At 38.2% G+C, this 18,684-nt stretch overlaps 1 protein-coding gene across 25 annotated transcripts in view; it reads right to left on the bottom strand.

The window, feature by feature from the left end:
• Window positions 1–18,684, bottom strand: part of SLC25A26 (solute carrier family 25 member 26) — a 245,318-nt gene that overhangs the window by 18,945 nt on the left and 207,689 nt on the right. For 17 of the 25 annotated variants that reach the window (NR_028475.1, XR_007095631.1, NR_174572.1 and 14 more), the window contains one exon: window positions 13,575–13,619. The exons of 6 other annotated variants lie outside the window; for them this stretch is intronic. Coding sequence is in view for 7 of the 19 variants with exons in the window: in NM_173471.4 (NP_775742.4) it covers window positions 13,575–13,619 (45 nt within the window). In the remaining 12 variants the exon portion in view is untranslated. Of the gene's footprint in view, window positions 1–3,898; window positions 3,953–13,574; window positions 13,620–18,684 lie in introns of all 25 variants that reach the window. 2 more of the 25 variants (NR_174568.1, NR_174574.1) reach the window with 1 other exon arrangement.

Raw genomic sequence — 18,684 nt, 5'->3', positions numbered from 1 at the left:
TATCCATACTAACGTGAATGATTCTCTGAAAGTGTATTAATTCAATTTACTGCACTGAGAGTGCAGCTATCAAATAGGTATTTATCACCTTACTTGTGAAAGCAGATAAGCTAAAAAAGAAAAGACTTATTAGAGACTGGTTTCTAAAGATAATATTGCCATTAAACAGAGTATCTGGTATATTTTCAGAAAATGCTCTAATGTTTGCAAATACATCTGTATGCTTTAATAGAAACCATTATTTTTTCCAGAGCTCCTAGAAGCACTGCAGAAAGAATAAGAAACAAGACAATGGAATCGCTTTTTCTTTACTTTTAAGGTGGCAAAGGGTGTATTTTATCAGGCTAATGCCAGTTTTAACACCAACATTTACTTCACCAACTTAGTAGAAAAGCAATGCAAAATATAAACTAGATTTCTGTTGATGACTAAAGGTCACTTTCAGTTAATCTACTTATATCTTTAAATGTTCCAAAGAGTAGAAGGCTACTCCAAATAGACTTGAAATGCTGGTAATAATGCTGAGTTTATAAGCAAAAGTAAATAACAGTAAGATGTGAATGTGATAAGAAATCAAAAATGTTATGCAAGTCATAAATTCAACAACTACTTACTAGGTGTCAGGTATTGTAGTCAAGAAAAGAAAAAGTAACAGTCCCTAGGTCTAATATTTGATGAAGGTATGGTGGGGGCAGAAGAGGATTATACAAGAGAGAAGTGAGGTGACAGAGAAAGCTTCACAGAGGTGCCTGTTATAATCTAGGGAGAAAAAAATTGGTTGCCAGGGGGCGAAAAAACACAATCCAAATAGACTCAGATGGCTGAAGACAACATTTAAAAACAGAATCTCCACAGATAAGTCTAACTTTCCACTATCACCTGGCCAGAATAATGAGCCTACAAAAAACACATAAAGAAATAATTTGGTATTTGACATGGATACTAATAAATATCTTAAAACAAACAAAAAATCTCTAGAAGACCCAAAACGTTTAAAGTGAGAAACTTCAGTGGCAAACACAAAGCATGACGTAAAGAATGACTGTAACAGCAACCACAATACACACTTCCATAGAACATACAGAACTTCCCACATTCCAGGTGTGAAGCACTTTACATACATCAGCTCATGTAATTCTCTCCAGAATCTTCCGACTTACATGTAATTTTTATTATCTTGTCATTTTATAGACAAAAACATTGTGGCTCACGCCTGTAATTCTAGCACTTTGGGAGGCCCGGATGGGAGGATCACTTGAGGCCAAGAGTTTGAGACTAGCCTAGTTAACACAGTGAGATCCCATCTCTAAGAAAAAAATTGTCTAAAGATGAGGCTCAAAGATGTTAAGTAACTCACAGATTAAACAGCGAGTAGGAAAGCTGGGATCTGGATGGGACACTCTGGTGTGGGCATGAAAACACATGGGTTTGGATCTATAGGATATAGTTGTCCTGGTAACACACAGATAAGCATTCATGAGACACTTTACTTCCACACGCAAATCACAATTTCTACCGGAATGACTTAAAATATCCAAGTGAATGAACAAACTATGTCAATGTCTGCAACAACTTGCTTAAATGAGTTTGAAATGATTTTTCTAAATGAGGAATTGTCTGAATACAGAACTTCAGAAATGTAATATTGAGACCAATCTAAAAAGAGTGTTATTTACAAATTATTCATTTGAGTGCAACCTTAAACTCATAAAACAACAATAATCAGAAAGTGACTCGTAAAAAATACATAAATTATGGAAATATTTTGAAATTACATATTTGCTCATCTATTTGGAGGGACAACAGAATTGTAATAAACAAAATACTCTAGCTGGAAGACATTACTCACAGGAAGACTATGTATTGATTATGACATTCACATAATTTTAGACTGGAATGTAGGATATAGTACAGGTAACAATATAAATTATTACTATTGACAATATTAGTTGGGATTTACTGACTACCTACAATGCTCTAGGCACTATGCTAAAGATTTTACATGTATAATCTCATTCAATGTTGAGAAGTATATTATTCTCCACAAAAACAGGTGAGGGGCAAGTTCTAGGAGATTTGCCTGAGGTCACATAGATAGTAAATGGGAAAACTGAGGCTGGTTCGTCCTGCAAATAGCAGTCTGTTTCCTCACTATCATATACAGCTCAACTTCTAGTCGAACTACATCATAATACACACGTTATTAAATATTTTGAAGTTAATACAATGAATTTAAATAATGTGGGTTTACAAAAGTTTTTTTTTTTTAAGAATCTGCCGAAAATTTTCTAAATTTCCATAATTTCTCAACCTAAATAAGTAATTTCATTGCCACAGAGGTCTAATGATCATTTCTGTCAAGGCGGATAAATGATTAGGGGAGGAGAGGGGCATTAAGGGGCCCGAATGTGAAGAAGCAGTATTGGAGTCTCAACTCACGGAGGAGGCTGTATACCAAAATAACAATAAGGAATTTAAAAAGCAAGGGGCCACATTTTCCCTGATGTTTGCTTATTTATCCCAATTCAATGTCCCATTTCCTTTTTCTGTTCAAATGTAAGTAACTTAAGAGACAGGATCTTGTTCTGTTACCCAGGCTGGAGTGCAGTGAAGTGATCACAGCCCACTGCAGCCTCCAACTTCTGCACTCAAGCGATCTTCCCGCCTCAGCCTCCTGAGTAACTGGGACTATGGGCAAGGGCCATCATGCCCGGCTAATTTATTTTATTTTTTTGAGGCAGCATCTTGCTATGTTTGCCCAGGGTAGTCTCAAACTCCTGATCTCAAGTGATCCTCCCACCCCAGCCTCCCAAGTAGCTGGAATTACAGTATAAATGAAATTTTCACATGAATCTATGGTTACATTAATGAGAAATATCAAGTTTAAGTAATGAGAACAGAAGTCAAAAATGTTCTTAGTTTCACTTCGGTAATTTTTCTTAAGTAAAGCTTCCTTAATACAGGTTGATTAGAAACCATGTCTACTAGGTTGTATGACACTTATTTTGAAATAATTTTAGATTTACAGAAGAGTTACAAAAATAGGAACATTCCACCGAGTGCAGCGGCTCGTGCCTATAATCCTAGCACTTGCTGGAGTCTGAGGTGGGAGGATCACTTGAGCCCAGGAGTTTGAGACCAGCCTGAGCAACACAGGGAGACCCTGTCTCTACAAAAAAATTTAAAAATTAGCCAGACGTGTTGGCACACCCCTGAGTCCCAGCTACTAGGGAGGCTGAGGCAGCAGGATTGCTTGAGCCTGGGAGGTTGAAGCTGCAGTTATCAGCGATCACACCACTGCAATCCAGCCTGGGTGACAGAGCAAGACCCTATCTCAAAAAATAATAATAATAAAGTTCCCACATATCCTTCACCCAGCTTCCATAGTATAATGATCAAAGCACAAGACTGAGATTGGTACAACACTATTAACTAAGCTACAGACCCTAGTTGAGTTTCACCATAATAACTATTGTTTAAAAGTAAGCAATTTTTAAACATCAGCTTGACTTTTTACATTAACAGTATTTGTATTATTCTTTAGGATACTCAGTGATACCACTACAAAAACAATCAGGTTGTAATTTCCCAAGTGATTCTTCACTTAATGCTAAAGGCCTATCAGAGGAAGAATAGCATGAAGTAGTTTGGCTCCCCGACCCCCACCCCAAGATAATAGCTATTAGCACCAGTAGTCATAGGCCAGAAAGCCAACACCAGGCACAATACTATGAAGTGGCTGGGAGTCCAACCCCAGACCAAGTGTCTTCTATTTAAAGTATAGCCTGAAGAGAAGGCTTTGTTTTTCACTTTTAAAAGACCCACCCAAATAAGCACTACTGTCTTATGAATAACACACTGAAAATAACTGTTTTGGCTCCAGTGAACAAATACTTACAACTTGGGACTTCTTTAGCTGCTCTATTCAAAAGCAGTTATATGGCTTCCAACCCTACAAGATGATGATATTTTACTATATGCTTTTTATACATGTAGTAAAATAAGTATGTGCACAGAATCATCTACTCAATTCCAAATTAGTAACATCACATGACAAAATTTAAGATAATGGAAAGGATAATGCTTAGTTTTTTCAAACCTAGGCTTGCTCTTGATATCATCCTCTGGGTAGGTCTCACTGCTGTGAGTTTACCACCAGAAGTTTATAACAGATTAAAGACAGGAGACAATGATTTTCGTGCACATACTTTCCATACTGTAGTTGATCAAGCTATTGTGTAGCTTTTGCACATATATTTTTAAAAACAAAGCAACAGCTGCCTATAATTTTATCATTCAATCAGATGAACCATCTCTCTGTGAAGTACTCACATACTACTATGTCTACAAAAGAGATTTCTGATAGCAAGTTCTGAAACTGAAAACAGTATCAAACATAACTGGGAACCACAATTTGGCTTTCATTCCGCCACACCATAGCTCTTGCAATACGAGCTAGTGGCTAAAAGGCTAAAATGAATTTTTCATATAGCACTACTTTTCATAATTAAAAATGGATATACCTAACTGATAATTAGGAATCCCTTATGGTATACAGGCTGACTTGGGTTATAAAGGCAGCTAGACTGAAACTGTTCTGGGATGTGCAAGCAGCATCAATTTTATATGCGTTGATGTGTACCTTGTTTTGGGCAATAATATATGTTGGCTGGTTGAGATATTTAGATATTTGCATTCTAGATAAGTCGGTAAAGATATTAAGAATTTATAAGAAAATCTTGAACTAATGATTGTGCTGGTAATTACAGGCAAAGACATTGATTATTCTTAAGCAAAAGCAAGATGGACTAAAATGCTGGGTTTGCTTAGTAATATTTAGGTTTTAGAGTTTATACAGTGATATTTTTGGAACTGACTGGGCTAGATTTTAGATATGTGGGGGGATATTTATTCTGACTGGGGGTTCTATGAGCTTTCTATCTGTGGTTCTTATTAGTTGTATTAGTCCATTTTCACATCGCTGATGAAGACATACTCAAGACTGGGCAATGTACAAAAGAAAGAGGTTTAATTGGACTTACAGTTTCATATGGCTGGGGAGGCCTCACAATTATGGCAGAAGGCAAGGAGGAGCAAGTCACATTTTATGTGGATGGCGGCAGGCAGAGAGAGACCTTGTGCAGGCAAACTCTTGTTTTTTAAAGCTATCAGATCTTGTGAGACTCATTCACTGTCATGAGAACAGTGCTGGAAAGATCTGCCCCCATAATTCAATCCCCTCCCACTGGGTTCCTCCCCGACACCAGATTCTCCCAGTCTCATGAAATGGTATAACTGCAGACCCTGAGCACTGAGCCTCTTCTAATTCTTGTTTATATTACTAAAAGTATCAGAGAAATTTGTTGTGGGTAGGGTGGTGGTAGACATTTTAACTACTATTAAAACAAGAATCAACAAGAAAAAATGCTATTTATTCTTGAACTTGAAAACATAGCTTTTATGTAGTACTGCACGTTTAAAATACTTATAAAACATAAAAGAGAGATCTAAGTAATTATTATATACATTGAACTATTGATATAAGTGAAGTGATAATGCATTGGTCCCTGATTTCTATGACAAAGCTATGATTTCATCTTAGAAAAGTATTAGCATAATGTTGCTGTCTTACAAAACCAAACTGATTTTATTTTCATTTTGCTTTAAATACTGCTTAGCTTAAAGATTACATCTCATCTAGCTATTGCTTTGTAACACCCTGTAGCTGTAAGCAAAACCACTCGGACCTGACAGTATTCTTAACAGTTCTCCACACTGCAATATAAACTGATGTCTCACACTAAGAAAATAGAAAAAAAAAAAAATGCATTCTCACAGGAAATTTTATCATATCCTTTCATAATATGCTTACTTTTGACTTAAAGCTTGATAAGAAAAGATCTGTATGGTTAAAAAGGGAAAACTCTTTATAGCTGTGAACATACCTTTAAAAGAATGTACAAATAAAACAGTTAACGTAGATACAGTTATCCAACTTTGCATTCAACTTGAAAAAGAATGCTAACCTTCAAACAATTAGCAAATAGTTACATAAACACCTGCTGTGTAAAAGACAGAACCATAAAGAATAAACAGAAGACATAGTTTCTTCCTCCAGTAAGCACCGTCCTGTGGGGAGTTAAACACAAGCACGTGGAAAATTCGGTTCTGGCTGAACTCATTAACTGTGAACTTATCTGTGCTCTCCAGGGTTGGTCTCTGAGAACTGACTCAAGTGAGCACAGTTTAATCCTTGCCCAAGCTCAGCAGATTCAACGGATACTGGGGAGAGGTGGTCTAAGAAATATGCTGGCCAGGCTTTCCTAAGCTACATGTCATCATTAAGGAATCAATGCAATTTACAGAAATGCCTTCAATGAGCTGACTAAATATGACCTCAACTTTTTATCAACTTTTGAGTATACGACAATACAAAAACGTTATGAAACACATCATGTGCGGTGTGCATAATTACATGTAACGTGATTAAGAATATCAAGTCTGGAGTTAGATCTGAACCTGAGTTCAAATCCTGGCTGTACTCCTTAGTACTCCCATGGCCTTGGGCAAGGCGTTCAAACTCTCCTTCCATTTTCACATCTACAGAACAAAGACCAGGCCAGCACCTACTTCACAGGACTGTCATGAAGATGAACAGGAGATGTGTGGGAAGTGTTACTACAGTGCCTGGCACACTGTAGCTTTGAAAAATGTTGGCTGTTCTTGCTTTTATTATGGTTGTTATCATCACTAAAAAATCACCTGGTAACCTGAGTCACCTGTCTGCTACGCAGCACACAGTAAAAGGTGCTCAGGCAACTAGGTGAAAGACAACCTTATTGAGCCCTGCTTCCCTGGTTTTAAGGTGGGGATAACAACAAGGCCCACCTCTCTGGGTTGTCTGTGGTGTGAAGAAGACAGTAACAAATGCATCGTGCTTAACCCAGAGCCTGGCACACAGTGTCTGCTCATCACACCACTGATGTCGTAAATAATTATTCCAATGATGTAAGTGCATAACTAAATAAACTAATTTATTAAAATACCAGTACGGAAATAAATAGGTGTTATGATTACAGAGGAGGGAGGAGGGGAAAGTCCTACTTTGGAGAGGGGTAGACCGGGAACGTCTCTCTGAGGTGACATGTGATCTAAGGCCTGAGTAATGGGGAAAGAGGAGACATGAGAGAGGTATGGGGAAGGGGGATGGAGAGAGGCCTAGGGAAAGAGCTGGAATGAATGCTCCATGGGGTCAGTTGTGTCAGTCCTCTTCATCACTGTATCCCCAGACCCTGGAAAATGCCTGGCACGTAATAGACACTCGGTAATGACATATACACTATTTATATATTTCAAAACATCATGCTGCACACCTTAAATATACAGATATTATTTGTCAATTTTCAAAAATATGAAAAAAATCAAAATTAAAAAAATTATCACACATAAAAAATGATGTATATAGAATGAAGGAAGAAAGAATATTTCTAGCAGGGAGATCTACAAATGTAAAGGCCTTGGTACATCTCAAAAAAAAAAACAAAAAACAAAAAACAAAAAACGAGGGGAGGCGCTAGGCAGCAGCACAGTCAGCGCAACGTGGCCGGGCACAGCGGGTGAGTGGCACGGGATAAGGCTGAGGCAGACAGAGGCCAGATTACAGAGTGCCTTGCCAGCCAGAGCTTAAGCTCTGGGTTTATTTTTCTTTTAACGAGATGCCACTGACAGGTTTTAGCAAGGAATAGTATGGTCTAATTTCTTTTTCTTATTTTTTTAAGAGACAGGGTCTCACTCTGTCGCCCAGGTTGTGAGCTCAAGTAAGTCTCCCACCTCAGCCTCCCACATAGTTGGGACTACAGGTATGCACCACCAATCCCAGATAATTTTTTTTTTTAATTTTTGTAGAGATGGAGTCTATGTTGCCCAGGCTGGTCTCAAACTCCTGAGCTCAGGTGATCTTCCAGCCTATGCCTCTCAAAGTGCTGGGATTACAGGCATGAGCCACTGTGCCTGACCTAATTCATTTCTTTAAAAGATCACTCTGGCTGCTGTGTGAAGAAGATATTTTGGGAAAGCCTGAGTGAAATGAGGGAGACCACTGGAGAGGCCAGTGTAGCAATTCAAACAAGGGGTGTTAGAGGCTTGAACTAGAACAGTGAACTTGTTGATGGGCTAGATGATGAAGGATAAAAGAATACAACTCTGGAATCATTCTTAAGTTTCTATTTGAGCAAGCATAAGACAACTTTGCTATTTACTGAGAAGTGGACCAACTAGGAAGGAACAGATTGGGAAGAAGACAAATAAAAACTGACAGTTCTGTTCTGACCTAGCCACTCAGAGACATCCTGAGTGAGGATGTCAACTAGGCAGCTGGTGATCTGAGGCTGCCACTCAGAGGAAGGGGCTTGCCATGGAGCTATAAACATGCAAGTTGGTATAAAGATGGTATCCAAAGTCAAAGGATAAGATAGAATAGCAAGCTACAGGTCTTTGTCAGATAATAAAAACCATGAAATCTATCATGCTTCTCTTCTTGTTGGGCTGCCAGAAAGTTCCAAAGTAAATATAAATCTTCAAGGAAAATTATCTTCTCTAAGACTTTGGATATGATAATCTACCGCTTTTGCTTCCCCATCTCTTTATGGTGTCTTGTCCTCTTTCATCTAAAACATACTTTTGTAAGCATATGTATAATAAAGAAAAGAAAAACAAAGGAAATGATGTAGCACAGTAACAGGATTTGGGGAGCAAGTATTCTGCAATAAGAGACACATTACATTTAAGTTATCAACGAGTTGGGTGCCACTCTGACGGACTCTCAGCTCCTCAAGGGCATTAAGCCATTTCTTATTCATCTTTGCATTCTTGTGACATGCAACCATATCCAGCTCAGAGTAGACAGGCACCAGAGCTGCAATGACAGCAGGTATCATTTACTTGTAAATTGAAGGGGTTAAGGCCTTATCTGAACACTATAAGATGTTTTAAACACAATATGGTGGGTGATTAAATACGAGTCAGTGACACAGACAAATCTGTGGTAAGGGCAATTCTTCAAGGCCTTCATTAGAAGACTTCAAGCAGGAGATCAAACACTGAATTGAGATTTGAGTGATGCATCACTTTTGGATCCTTGGAAGCATACTTCAGAAAGGAGTCAGAGAACAGAGAAGGGGAGAACATATTTAGAGGCAGTAAGGAGGCTATTCTGGCTGGAGGGGAAGAATTTTGTGTGTGCGTGTGGGTGTGCGCGCACGCGCGCGCTCACACACACACACACACACACAGAGTATAGGGCAGAAGCTGAAAAAACCAGTCAAGGACAGGGTGTTGAGAAACTTGAATGCCAAGAACTTAATGTTTTAGAGTTTTAGAAAGTTATATGTTCCTGAGAACCTAAGTGTTACTGAAAGAAAAGTTTAAGGAAGATCAGACACATCCAAAATGTAGAATGGATAAGAAGAGAGCCTATTAGGATGTGGGAAAACATAAGGTACTAAGAATCAGGTGAAATGTGGCCACAAATTCCCAACAGTGAAGTCAACAAAATTTGTTGAGTAATGTGATATAGAGAAAGAGCAAGAAGGGAATCAAATTTTAATCTGAGACTTGAGACCAGGTGGCCAGGAGAATACTGATTAACAGAAATGGGAGACAGCAGGAAGACATGATTTTACAAGAAAGATGATGACTTTTAGACAGAGTTGAATTTAAGGTAACAGTGGCCACCACCACCTCCAGCCCCTTACTCCCTGCAGTGCCATGTGATGCAATCTGCTAGTCTTGGCTAAGAAAAATTTTCCTGAATGGTATTCCCACATAAACACAAATAAACACAGTGGAGAAATCCTTTCATATAATACAATCTCCTTCTATAGCTGCAAACTCAAGTTTAAATAGATAAAATTGTAAACACAAAAATAAAAAAGTTCCAAAAACTGTCTACTTCTACAAAAGCACTGTGATTGTACGTTCAGATGTTTAAAAAACAGTATTATATGAAAAGATGCTCAACATTATTTAGTCATGAGGGAACTAGAAATTAAAACCCCAATGAGACACCAATTCACAAGTACTAGAATGGCTGGAAAAAAAATTTAACCTAATAGTAACAAGAAATGACATGGATGTAGAGCAACTAGAACTCTCATACACTGTTGGTGGGAATGCAAACTGGTACAGCCACTTTGGAAAACACCTTGACAGTTTGTTTCTTATAAAATTAAACATACACCTTCTGTATGACCCAGGGATGCTACTCCTGGCCTCTGACCCTAGAGAAGTAAAAACCTACATCCATACCAATACTATATGCAAATACTTACGACAGCTTTATTTATAATCATCAAAAACTGGAAAACAACTCAATGTATATAAACTAGTGAATAAATTGTAGCATATCCATACACATATGGAATACTACAAAGTAATAAAACAAACTACTGGTACAAGCAACAACAGGAAAGCATCTCAAAAATATTACATTAAGTAAAAAAAAAAGCAAAGCACAAGATGGTATAATAGTACCCTGTATCTATTTCTATGATGTTCTGGAAAAGAGAAGACTACAGAACAGTGGCTCACAGGGGCTGTGGGTACAGAAAGGGCACTGACGGCATGAGGGAACTTTCTGGGTTGATGGAAATTTGGTGGTGGTTATAAACATTTATTGAAACTCACAAAAATGTACAGGTATAAAGGGTGAGTTTTATCATATGTAAAGCGTTCCTCAAGAAACGACTTGACAGAAAAAAAAATGGCAGCATCTTAACATTTGCTCAAAGAGAATTTTTAAATCTTAGCATTGTCATCTATGATTACTCTGAAAAATTCTGGACATTTCTTAACTAGCTAGAATTCTACAAATGTCCTTAATATTGAAAAGAAATAAACACTATGCTTTTTCCTTCTTTAGGCCTCAAAACATTCCTTTGCAGAATTAGGGCATAAGGATGTTAGAGTGTGCAGAAACTGTGTGAATGCTGGTTATTGAGACACTAATAAAGTAAGTCTTGTTTGCTGGACAGCTGTTGGCTTCATTGTTCTTTTGTCACACACTAAAAAGGAGAGCTGTTATACTAATGGAACGTGACCTTCTCATTGGATAGCTGTTACATCATGCCCTGAAACACTGCCAGAGAACTCTATTTTCACCACGCACCACATAGGAAACAGTAAAACAAACAAACAAGACAACAAAAGAGCCAAAAAACTATATTAAATGAGCAATACTACGCCTTAAAATCAGATCACTTATAAGAAATACTTCTTGATACTTAACATCTCATAATTTACTTTGTTAATGAGTAATGTTTTTTCTCAATTTAGTATCCTTTAGTATATACCTCAACAATTTATTTCCAAGTACAAATAATTTTTATGATACTCTTCAAAATGCATTTTGTATGAGCACTCCATGACTAGTCAATCTATAAAATTATGAGAGTAACTCCTTTATTTTTGTATTAGCTAATGCCTACCTAGATTATTTTATAGCCTGGTCATTTATGAACCATTTTCACTAGAACAAGGGCTTTCAAAGTTTTTGGACCATTATCCACAGCGAGAAATACATTTTACATTGCAACCTAGATACATATGTGTGTGCACGCATGCATAACATTCATTGAGGTCTTACAAAATAAGACTTACTCTTACCACGTAAGATGCCCTCTACTATATTCTTCTTGATTATGGTCTTTAAAATGCTGACAAAGACCCACACAATTTATATCATGGCCCACAGTTTTCAGTATCACTGCACCAGAAAGTGAAAAACCAATGTAACATCTCTGCATGTTTTGAATGTAGGCTTTTTAAAATGTCTTTTGCTGTTGTTGTTGTTGTTGTTGAAGTTCCAGGGTATGTGTGCAGGATGTGCAAGTTTGTTACACAGGTAAATGTGACCCATGGTGGTTTGTTGCATGTATCAACCCATCAGCTAAGTATTAAGCCCAGCATGTGTTAGCTATTTTTCCTGATGCTCTCCTTCCCCCTGCACCCCACAACAGGCCCCAGTCATTGTGTGTTGTTCTTCTGTGTCCATGTATTCTCCTTGCTCAGCTCCCACTTATAAGTGAGAACATGCAGTGTTTGCTTTTCTGTTCCTGCATTAGTTTGCTGAGGATAATGGCTTCCAGCTCCATCCATGTCCCTACAAAGAACATAATCTCATTTCCTTTTTATGGCTGCATAGTATTCCGTGGTGTGTATGTACCACATTTTCTTTATGCAGTCTATCATTGATGGGCATTTGGGTTGATTCCATGTCTTTGCTATTATAAATAGTGCTGCAATGAATATATGTATGTATGTATCTTTATAACAGAATGATTTATATTCCTTTGGGTATATACCCAGTAATGGGATTGCTGGGTCAAATGGTATTTCTGGTTCTACGTCTTTGAGAAATCGCCACACTGTCTTCCACAATGGTTGAACTAATTTACATTCCCACCAACAGTGTAAAAGCGTTCCTTTTTCTCCAAAGCCTCACCAGCATCTGTTGTTTCTTGACTTTTTAATAATCGCCATTGTGACTGGTGTGAGACGGTATCTCATTGTGGTTTTGATTTGCATTTCTCTAATAATCAGTGATGTTGAGCTTTTTCTCATATGTTTGTTGCCTGCATGAAAGTCTTCTCTTGAGAAGTGTCTGTTCATGTCCTTCGCTCACTTTTTAATGGGATTCTTTGTTTTTTTCTTGTAAATTCATTTCAGTTCCTTGTGGACTCTGGATATTAGACCTTTGTCAGATGAATAGGTTGCAAAAATTTCCTCCCGTTCTGTAGGTAGTCTGAACGCTCTGATGATAGTTTCTTTTGCTGTGCAGAAGCTCTTTAGTTTAATTAGATCCCATTTGTCAATTTTGGCTTTTGTTGCAATTGCTTTTGATGTTTTCGTCATGAAATATTTGCCCATGTCCATGTCCTTAATGGTTAAAACATGTTGTTTTTTTTTTAAATAGCTCACTGACCTTCCCCAAGGTTGTCTGACAACTCACCACACTCTGCTCCTTCCCTCTGGAGGCTCCTAGTCCTGGCTGGAGTGAGCAACCAAGACGGAAGGGACAGTCAGAGCCCTAAGACCCTGCTGCTCCCCATCCAAGTGGTCCTTACACAGGGTGCTAGGGGAGCTGGTCCTTCTCAGTCTTCAAGTATTCAAGGCTTTGCATTTTTCCTCTTCCATTTACCCTCACTGTTAGTCTTTAACTTCTAAACACACACACACACACACACACACACACACACACACACACACACACGCACACAGCAAAATGAAATTTAACGGTGGAGAAAGAATGGCAATATGGAAAAAAGTAAACCTAAGTTTTTTCTTATTATCTGTGGATTTCAGTGCCACCTGCTATGCCTATTTCCTAGGAGCACAGCCACCTGAACAAGTTTAAAAGGCTGAAATGGCATGTAAATCACACATAAAATATATTTTCAACTGCTAATAGGTTTGAGTTGCTGAACTTCTAGTCAACATTATGTTCTACTCTTCCACACTCAAACTATTAGGTATGTTATAATTAGAGACAAATTTTATGTGAAGACTGAGAAACTTACTTTTAAGGACTCCCATAAGGGAAACTGGACCAAAGAAAAAGGAATCTGAAGAGAGAAAAAAAAAATTAAATAAATTAGGCAAAAAAGAGCCAAGTTTGCCTGTATGACTATACGAGCCTGTAAATATTATTTCAACTTTATAACAAAGCTAATATCAAACAAATTCACAGTTATAGTAGACATAATGTTTAGAAAAAGAGTTAAACTGTGGCCTGTAGATTTTCATTTTTTGTTGGGAGGAAGTCTCGCTCTGTCACTCAGGCTGACAGATCACCACCCTCGACCTCCCAGGCTCACGAGATTTTCCCACCTCAGCCATCAGAGTAGCTGGGACTACAGGCACACGCCACCACACCCAGCTAATTTTTGTATATTTTCTTTAGAGATGGGGTTTCACCATGTTGCCCAGGTTGGTCTCAAACTTGAGGGCTCAAGCAATCCACCTGACTTGGCCTCCAAAAGTGCTGGGATTACAGGCGTGAGCCACTGAGCCTGGTGATCTTCTGAGTTTTTGAGCCCAAGGGACATAAAATGATGTTGTGAATCCCCTTTGAAATGGAAACAGAAGCACAATAGTCTGGCTACTGAAATGACAAAATAAATATTTCCCAGCATAATAAAAACACTTTAGGACGTGACATTTCTGTGCTTAAGAGCCAAGGCTGTCTACTCCTTAGCAGGCAGTGTTAGGATTTAAAGGAGAAACACAGAGGAGAGAGAAGGAAGGTAAGGGGTGGTGGGAGAGAAGTGTTAGGGGAATGGGGAGACAACAGAGCAGAGAGAGGGAGCAGGAAGAGAAGGGGAGAGAGAAAGGAGTGGAAGAAAAGGAAAGAAAGTGGAGAGAGGAAAAGAGATGGGTAAAAAAGGAAGCAGGAAGGAGGGGAAAGAAAGCAGGGAGGTAGAGGGTAGGGGGGCAGAGAGGAGGAGGACAGAAGACAGAAGACGGGGCAGAGAAGGAAAGGAGAGGGAGAAAAGAGGAGGGAGGAGACTGGAGAGAGGGCAAGGGCAGGTGGAGGGAAAAAAGAGGCAAGGAAGAAAGAGGAAGCAGACAGAGCTACTTGCAAGAGTCAAACTTGAGAAACAGGTCTCCAGGAACAGAGCAGCCAGTGGGAAGCTCGCACCCTTCAAGGAAGAATCACCAAATCAGTCAATGCTAGGGGAGTGGAGAGGGTCTAACAAAACACAGGGGGACGTGGGTCTGAGCACTGATCACGTCCCAGGCACAGCTAGGGAGGAGAGTCATGCGTAGTAATGAAGTATGAGTGGTCAAGAGAATCACCACACTTAGAGTTAGGTATTTACGATGAGCTGTCTAACAGTAAGGGCTAGAACTATCAACACTTCTCATGTGCCAGGTACTCTGCAAATATGCACTTTGTAAGCTTTATTTCACTGAATCCTCACAACACATGCTGAGACAGTTAGGGAGTATTACTTCCTTCATTTTATAGTTGATGAGACTGAGGTTCAAAGACGCTGTGTAACGCCTAAAGGCAGTTAGGAGGTAAGAAGCCCAGACAATCTGACTCTAGAGTCTTGTCTAACTACTACTATCCCCAGGAGACATCTAAATTATCTGCATATAAATTCACCCACAGTACAATCTGTTATTAATTTTCTGAAATTCAAACTTAAGACACCCATGTCATATTTCCTAAGATAAAAATGTCTTAACACCAGTGGACCCCACCCAGCAGCTGAAGTAATGTCCAGTCACAGCCCAGGGGACCAGTGCTGGTGGTGGCGATGCCCACGAACACGCACACGCCACGGGCCCAGTACTGGCACTGCACAGGCAGCCCAGCTGCAAGGGAAAAGTAAATGTGGACTTTGAACATTATCATTATCACTACATGTGGGTGGGTGTAAATGTCCCAGTTTCAGAGGAATTAATGGGTATTTACCTTCACGTGAATTGAGGGCATTGTTATGTCTTTTTTTTTTTTGAGACAGAGTCTTGCTTTGTCGGTCAGGCGGGAGTGCAGTGGCACGATCTCAGCTCACTGCAACCTCCATCTCCTGGGCTCAAGCAATTCTCCTGTCTCAGCCTCCCGAGTAGTTGGGATTACAGGTATGTGCCACCACGCCTGGCTAATTTTTGTATTTTTAGTAGAGACGGGGTTTCACCATGTTAGCCAGGCTGGTCTCGAACTCCTGACCTCAGGTGATCCGCCCACCTTGGCCTGGTATTGTTATTTCCTAAATATTTATATTTAATCAGAAATTTAAAGATTAGCATCATCTGTCTTACTCAGCTACAGCAAATGATGGCCCCAAGTTTGACAGACAGTGACCACAGAAAGAAAATCTGTCTACCATTCAGGAAGGAAATGTCAATGAGAAGAAAAGATCAATGTCAATAGCCTGGACTAATTTGACAAGCTAGAATCTCAGAGAAGTTTGTTATCATCATAAACAGGCAGCCAGCCCCCCCGAATGTCGAAGTTCCATAACAGTAGTTAAATAGAGTTTTTTATTGTCACAAAAACATAAAAGCATCTGACATTATCCATTCTGAAACTCAAGCATTATATTTCCAATTAATTATCAAAACAATAACTTGACTGTGTAATAGGTTTCTAAAAGCTTTTCTAAATGTTTTAAACTTTATAATATGTAATAAAATATGCCCCAAAAGACTGACAGTATGATTATGGATTAGTAAGAAGGTAAATATTTCATAAGATGAAAAAAGATTTAAAATTTACTCTAACAATCCCATTGGCATCATTCATTTCTCAATTAAAATCACCTACAAATTGCACTGAATGTTATCTGCTCTTACTTGGTACTTAATACTTTAGATTTTGAATTCTATCATTAAACATTTTGCCCATTTCCTCTAATGAAAGTTATTCATTGAGCTGCTCCTTCAGTTTAAAGAAATAATTTTAAAATCACACATTTGGAATGGCCATACTATTCCACTGGGTATTTAGTTTAAAAAGGGAGCGACAGTAAACCCCAGCTTTACTCTCTAAAACAAGACTGACAGTCTAAAGTAATTAAATATGCTATAAATGCCTAAATAATTAAATTTGCTTCTGACTTCTAGTAGTGAAATAGCCCTCATAAATTCCTGTGTGAAAATTTTTCAAATATTCTTCAAGTCAAAATTGTATCACACACATGTTGTCATTTACAATATGAACAAACAATAATGAAAATGTGTTCCACACATGTGAAAGATGGGCTGCCAGCAAATACAGCTCCATAGCTAAAACAAACACTTTTCCCAACGTCTACAGAACGTGGGCCCGTCAGAAAGCTAGCTCCCTCCCCGCGTCTGGCTTGAAGTTACATAACAGTGATTGTTTCTTCAAAACGTGGAATTTTATACCCCCAAACAGATGTAGGCTGTTATTCTAAAATGTTTTATAGATGAAGAAAATGAATAGCTGCACTCAGAGCTCTTATATTCCAAAACACAACATACCCATTTTATTGCACCTAAAGTTACAAAATGGCTCACTGTTGTGACCTGTTTAATGCCTCCATTTAAGATGTTTTGTTTGAATAAGGTTGTTAAGACCCAGGGCACTAATAAGTGAGCGGCAGTAAACCCAGCTACCATCAAAGACACAGATGGAGGGGGAAAAAGCCTGCCAAAATTCAACATGGATTCCACTTAGTAATAAACAGAGCAATAATTCTATACAAGAGTGCATGTGAGGATTCGAGGTGAAATAGGGATAAAATGAAATCTGGGTGTGGTAAACAGGAAGGGCATGTTAGGCATCACTAATGAAATAAAGAACAAAATTACATTATGAGCACACTTCACCTATCACAAAGTGTAGGACTAGAATTATCTTTGAAGCCAATCAATGCTTCTATCCCTGTAATCTTAAAATAAATGTAACCTAATGGTCCTTCAATAAACAGCAAAGTGATTTAGAATACAACTGAAGAGATATGAAGATATTATTTCTAAGGTATCATTTAGCCCTAACATTCTATTTTCAATTAAAAAATTACATTACAATACCAATATATTTTTTAAAAATAAGTAAGACTTGACTGTAAGCTGCAATGAACATAATGCCACCACGGGTGATCTAGGAAGCCTAAGGACCAAGAAAGGCCATCTAAAAAGCTGTAAAAGCTTTCGTCATTGGCAGAAATAACCCAGAACTCTCTAGCAATACGTTTAAAAAACACAGAAACCGTGTGCAAGACCTCTAGTTGAAGAACAGCATGGAATTGGTAGGCCTGCCATGTATAGCAGAGTGGATCCAAGGACTGGCCCATTGCAATTTTCAAGAGATCTACAGGTGATTCACAGAAGGGTCTCCTTTTTCTTGCATGATGATTTCCAAATTCTAGTGGTTTAGAGTTTTCCATTCTACTGTCCCACCGACAACAAAACCATTCTTTTAAATACTCTGAACCTTTTCCAATTCAACCCCAGGGGTAACCAAGGACAAATGAAGTTGAAGACCTAAAAATTCCTTGTCCCATAGTGATAATTATTCTTAAAAAAACAACAACAAAAGTAAGAACCATTCAAAGCTAGTCTGCTAGTATTAAACATAGCAGGAAAGAATTCCAATAGTAAATACATTCTGATTTTTTTAATTTAACAACTACAGTTCATTTATTTACACCGTACATAAAGAAAAGAGCATATACCCAATAAAAGAAATTAACCTAAAAGGAGGAAAATTGAAAGTGAATTACTCCTTAGGTTAATAAAAACATATTAACATTCCTAAAGCATCTTTCCAAAGAAAACATAAAATAAACACATGAGTAAAAGAATCTAACAGAGAAAAGCAGATGAGTGTGAACAGTTTGACTGTTAAGTAAATCTTTCAGATTTCAAGGCCAGGGGCATTAGGAGTATCTCCAAACACAACTCAGTACATTAGTCATAAATGCTATCACTGAAGGTAATGATTAGATTTTCTTTTTCCACATTCTACAGAATCATCACAGTAATTTTGTGTAGATGGAAGTGGCTCCTAATGTATCACTTTACATGTTAGAGTGCCAATTAAATAACACTATTTTGTAATGAAGATAATGGCAATGTCAAATTAGTCTGTAATTCACTATACTTCTAAAGCCCTGGAAACAAGTTTCACTGTTTTTAAGAAGTATTTAAATA

The sequence above is a fragment of the Homo sapiens genome, chromosome 3 (assembly GCF_000001405.40).
Source record: "Homo sapiens chromosome 3, GRCh38.p14 Primary Assembly".
NCBI classification, from domain to species: Eukaryota; Metazoa; Chordata; class Mammalia; order Primates; family Hominidae; genus Homo; species Homo sapiens.
Note: the sequence above shows the minus strand (reverse complement) of the source record. Positions and strands in the feature narration are given on the sequence as shown.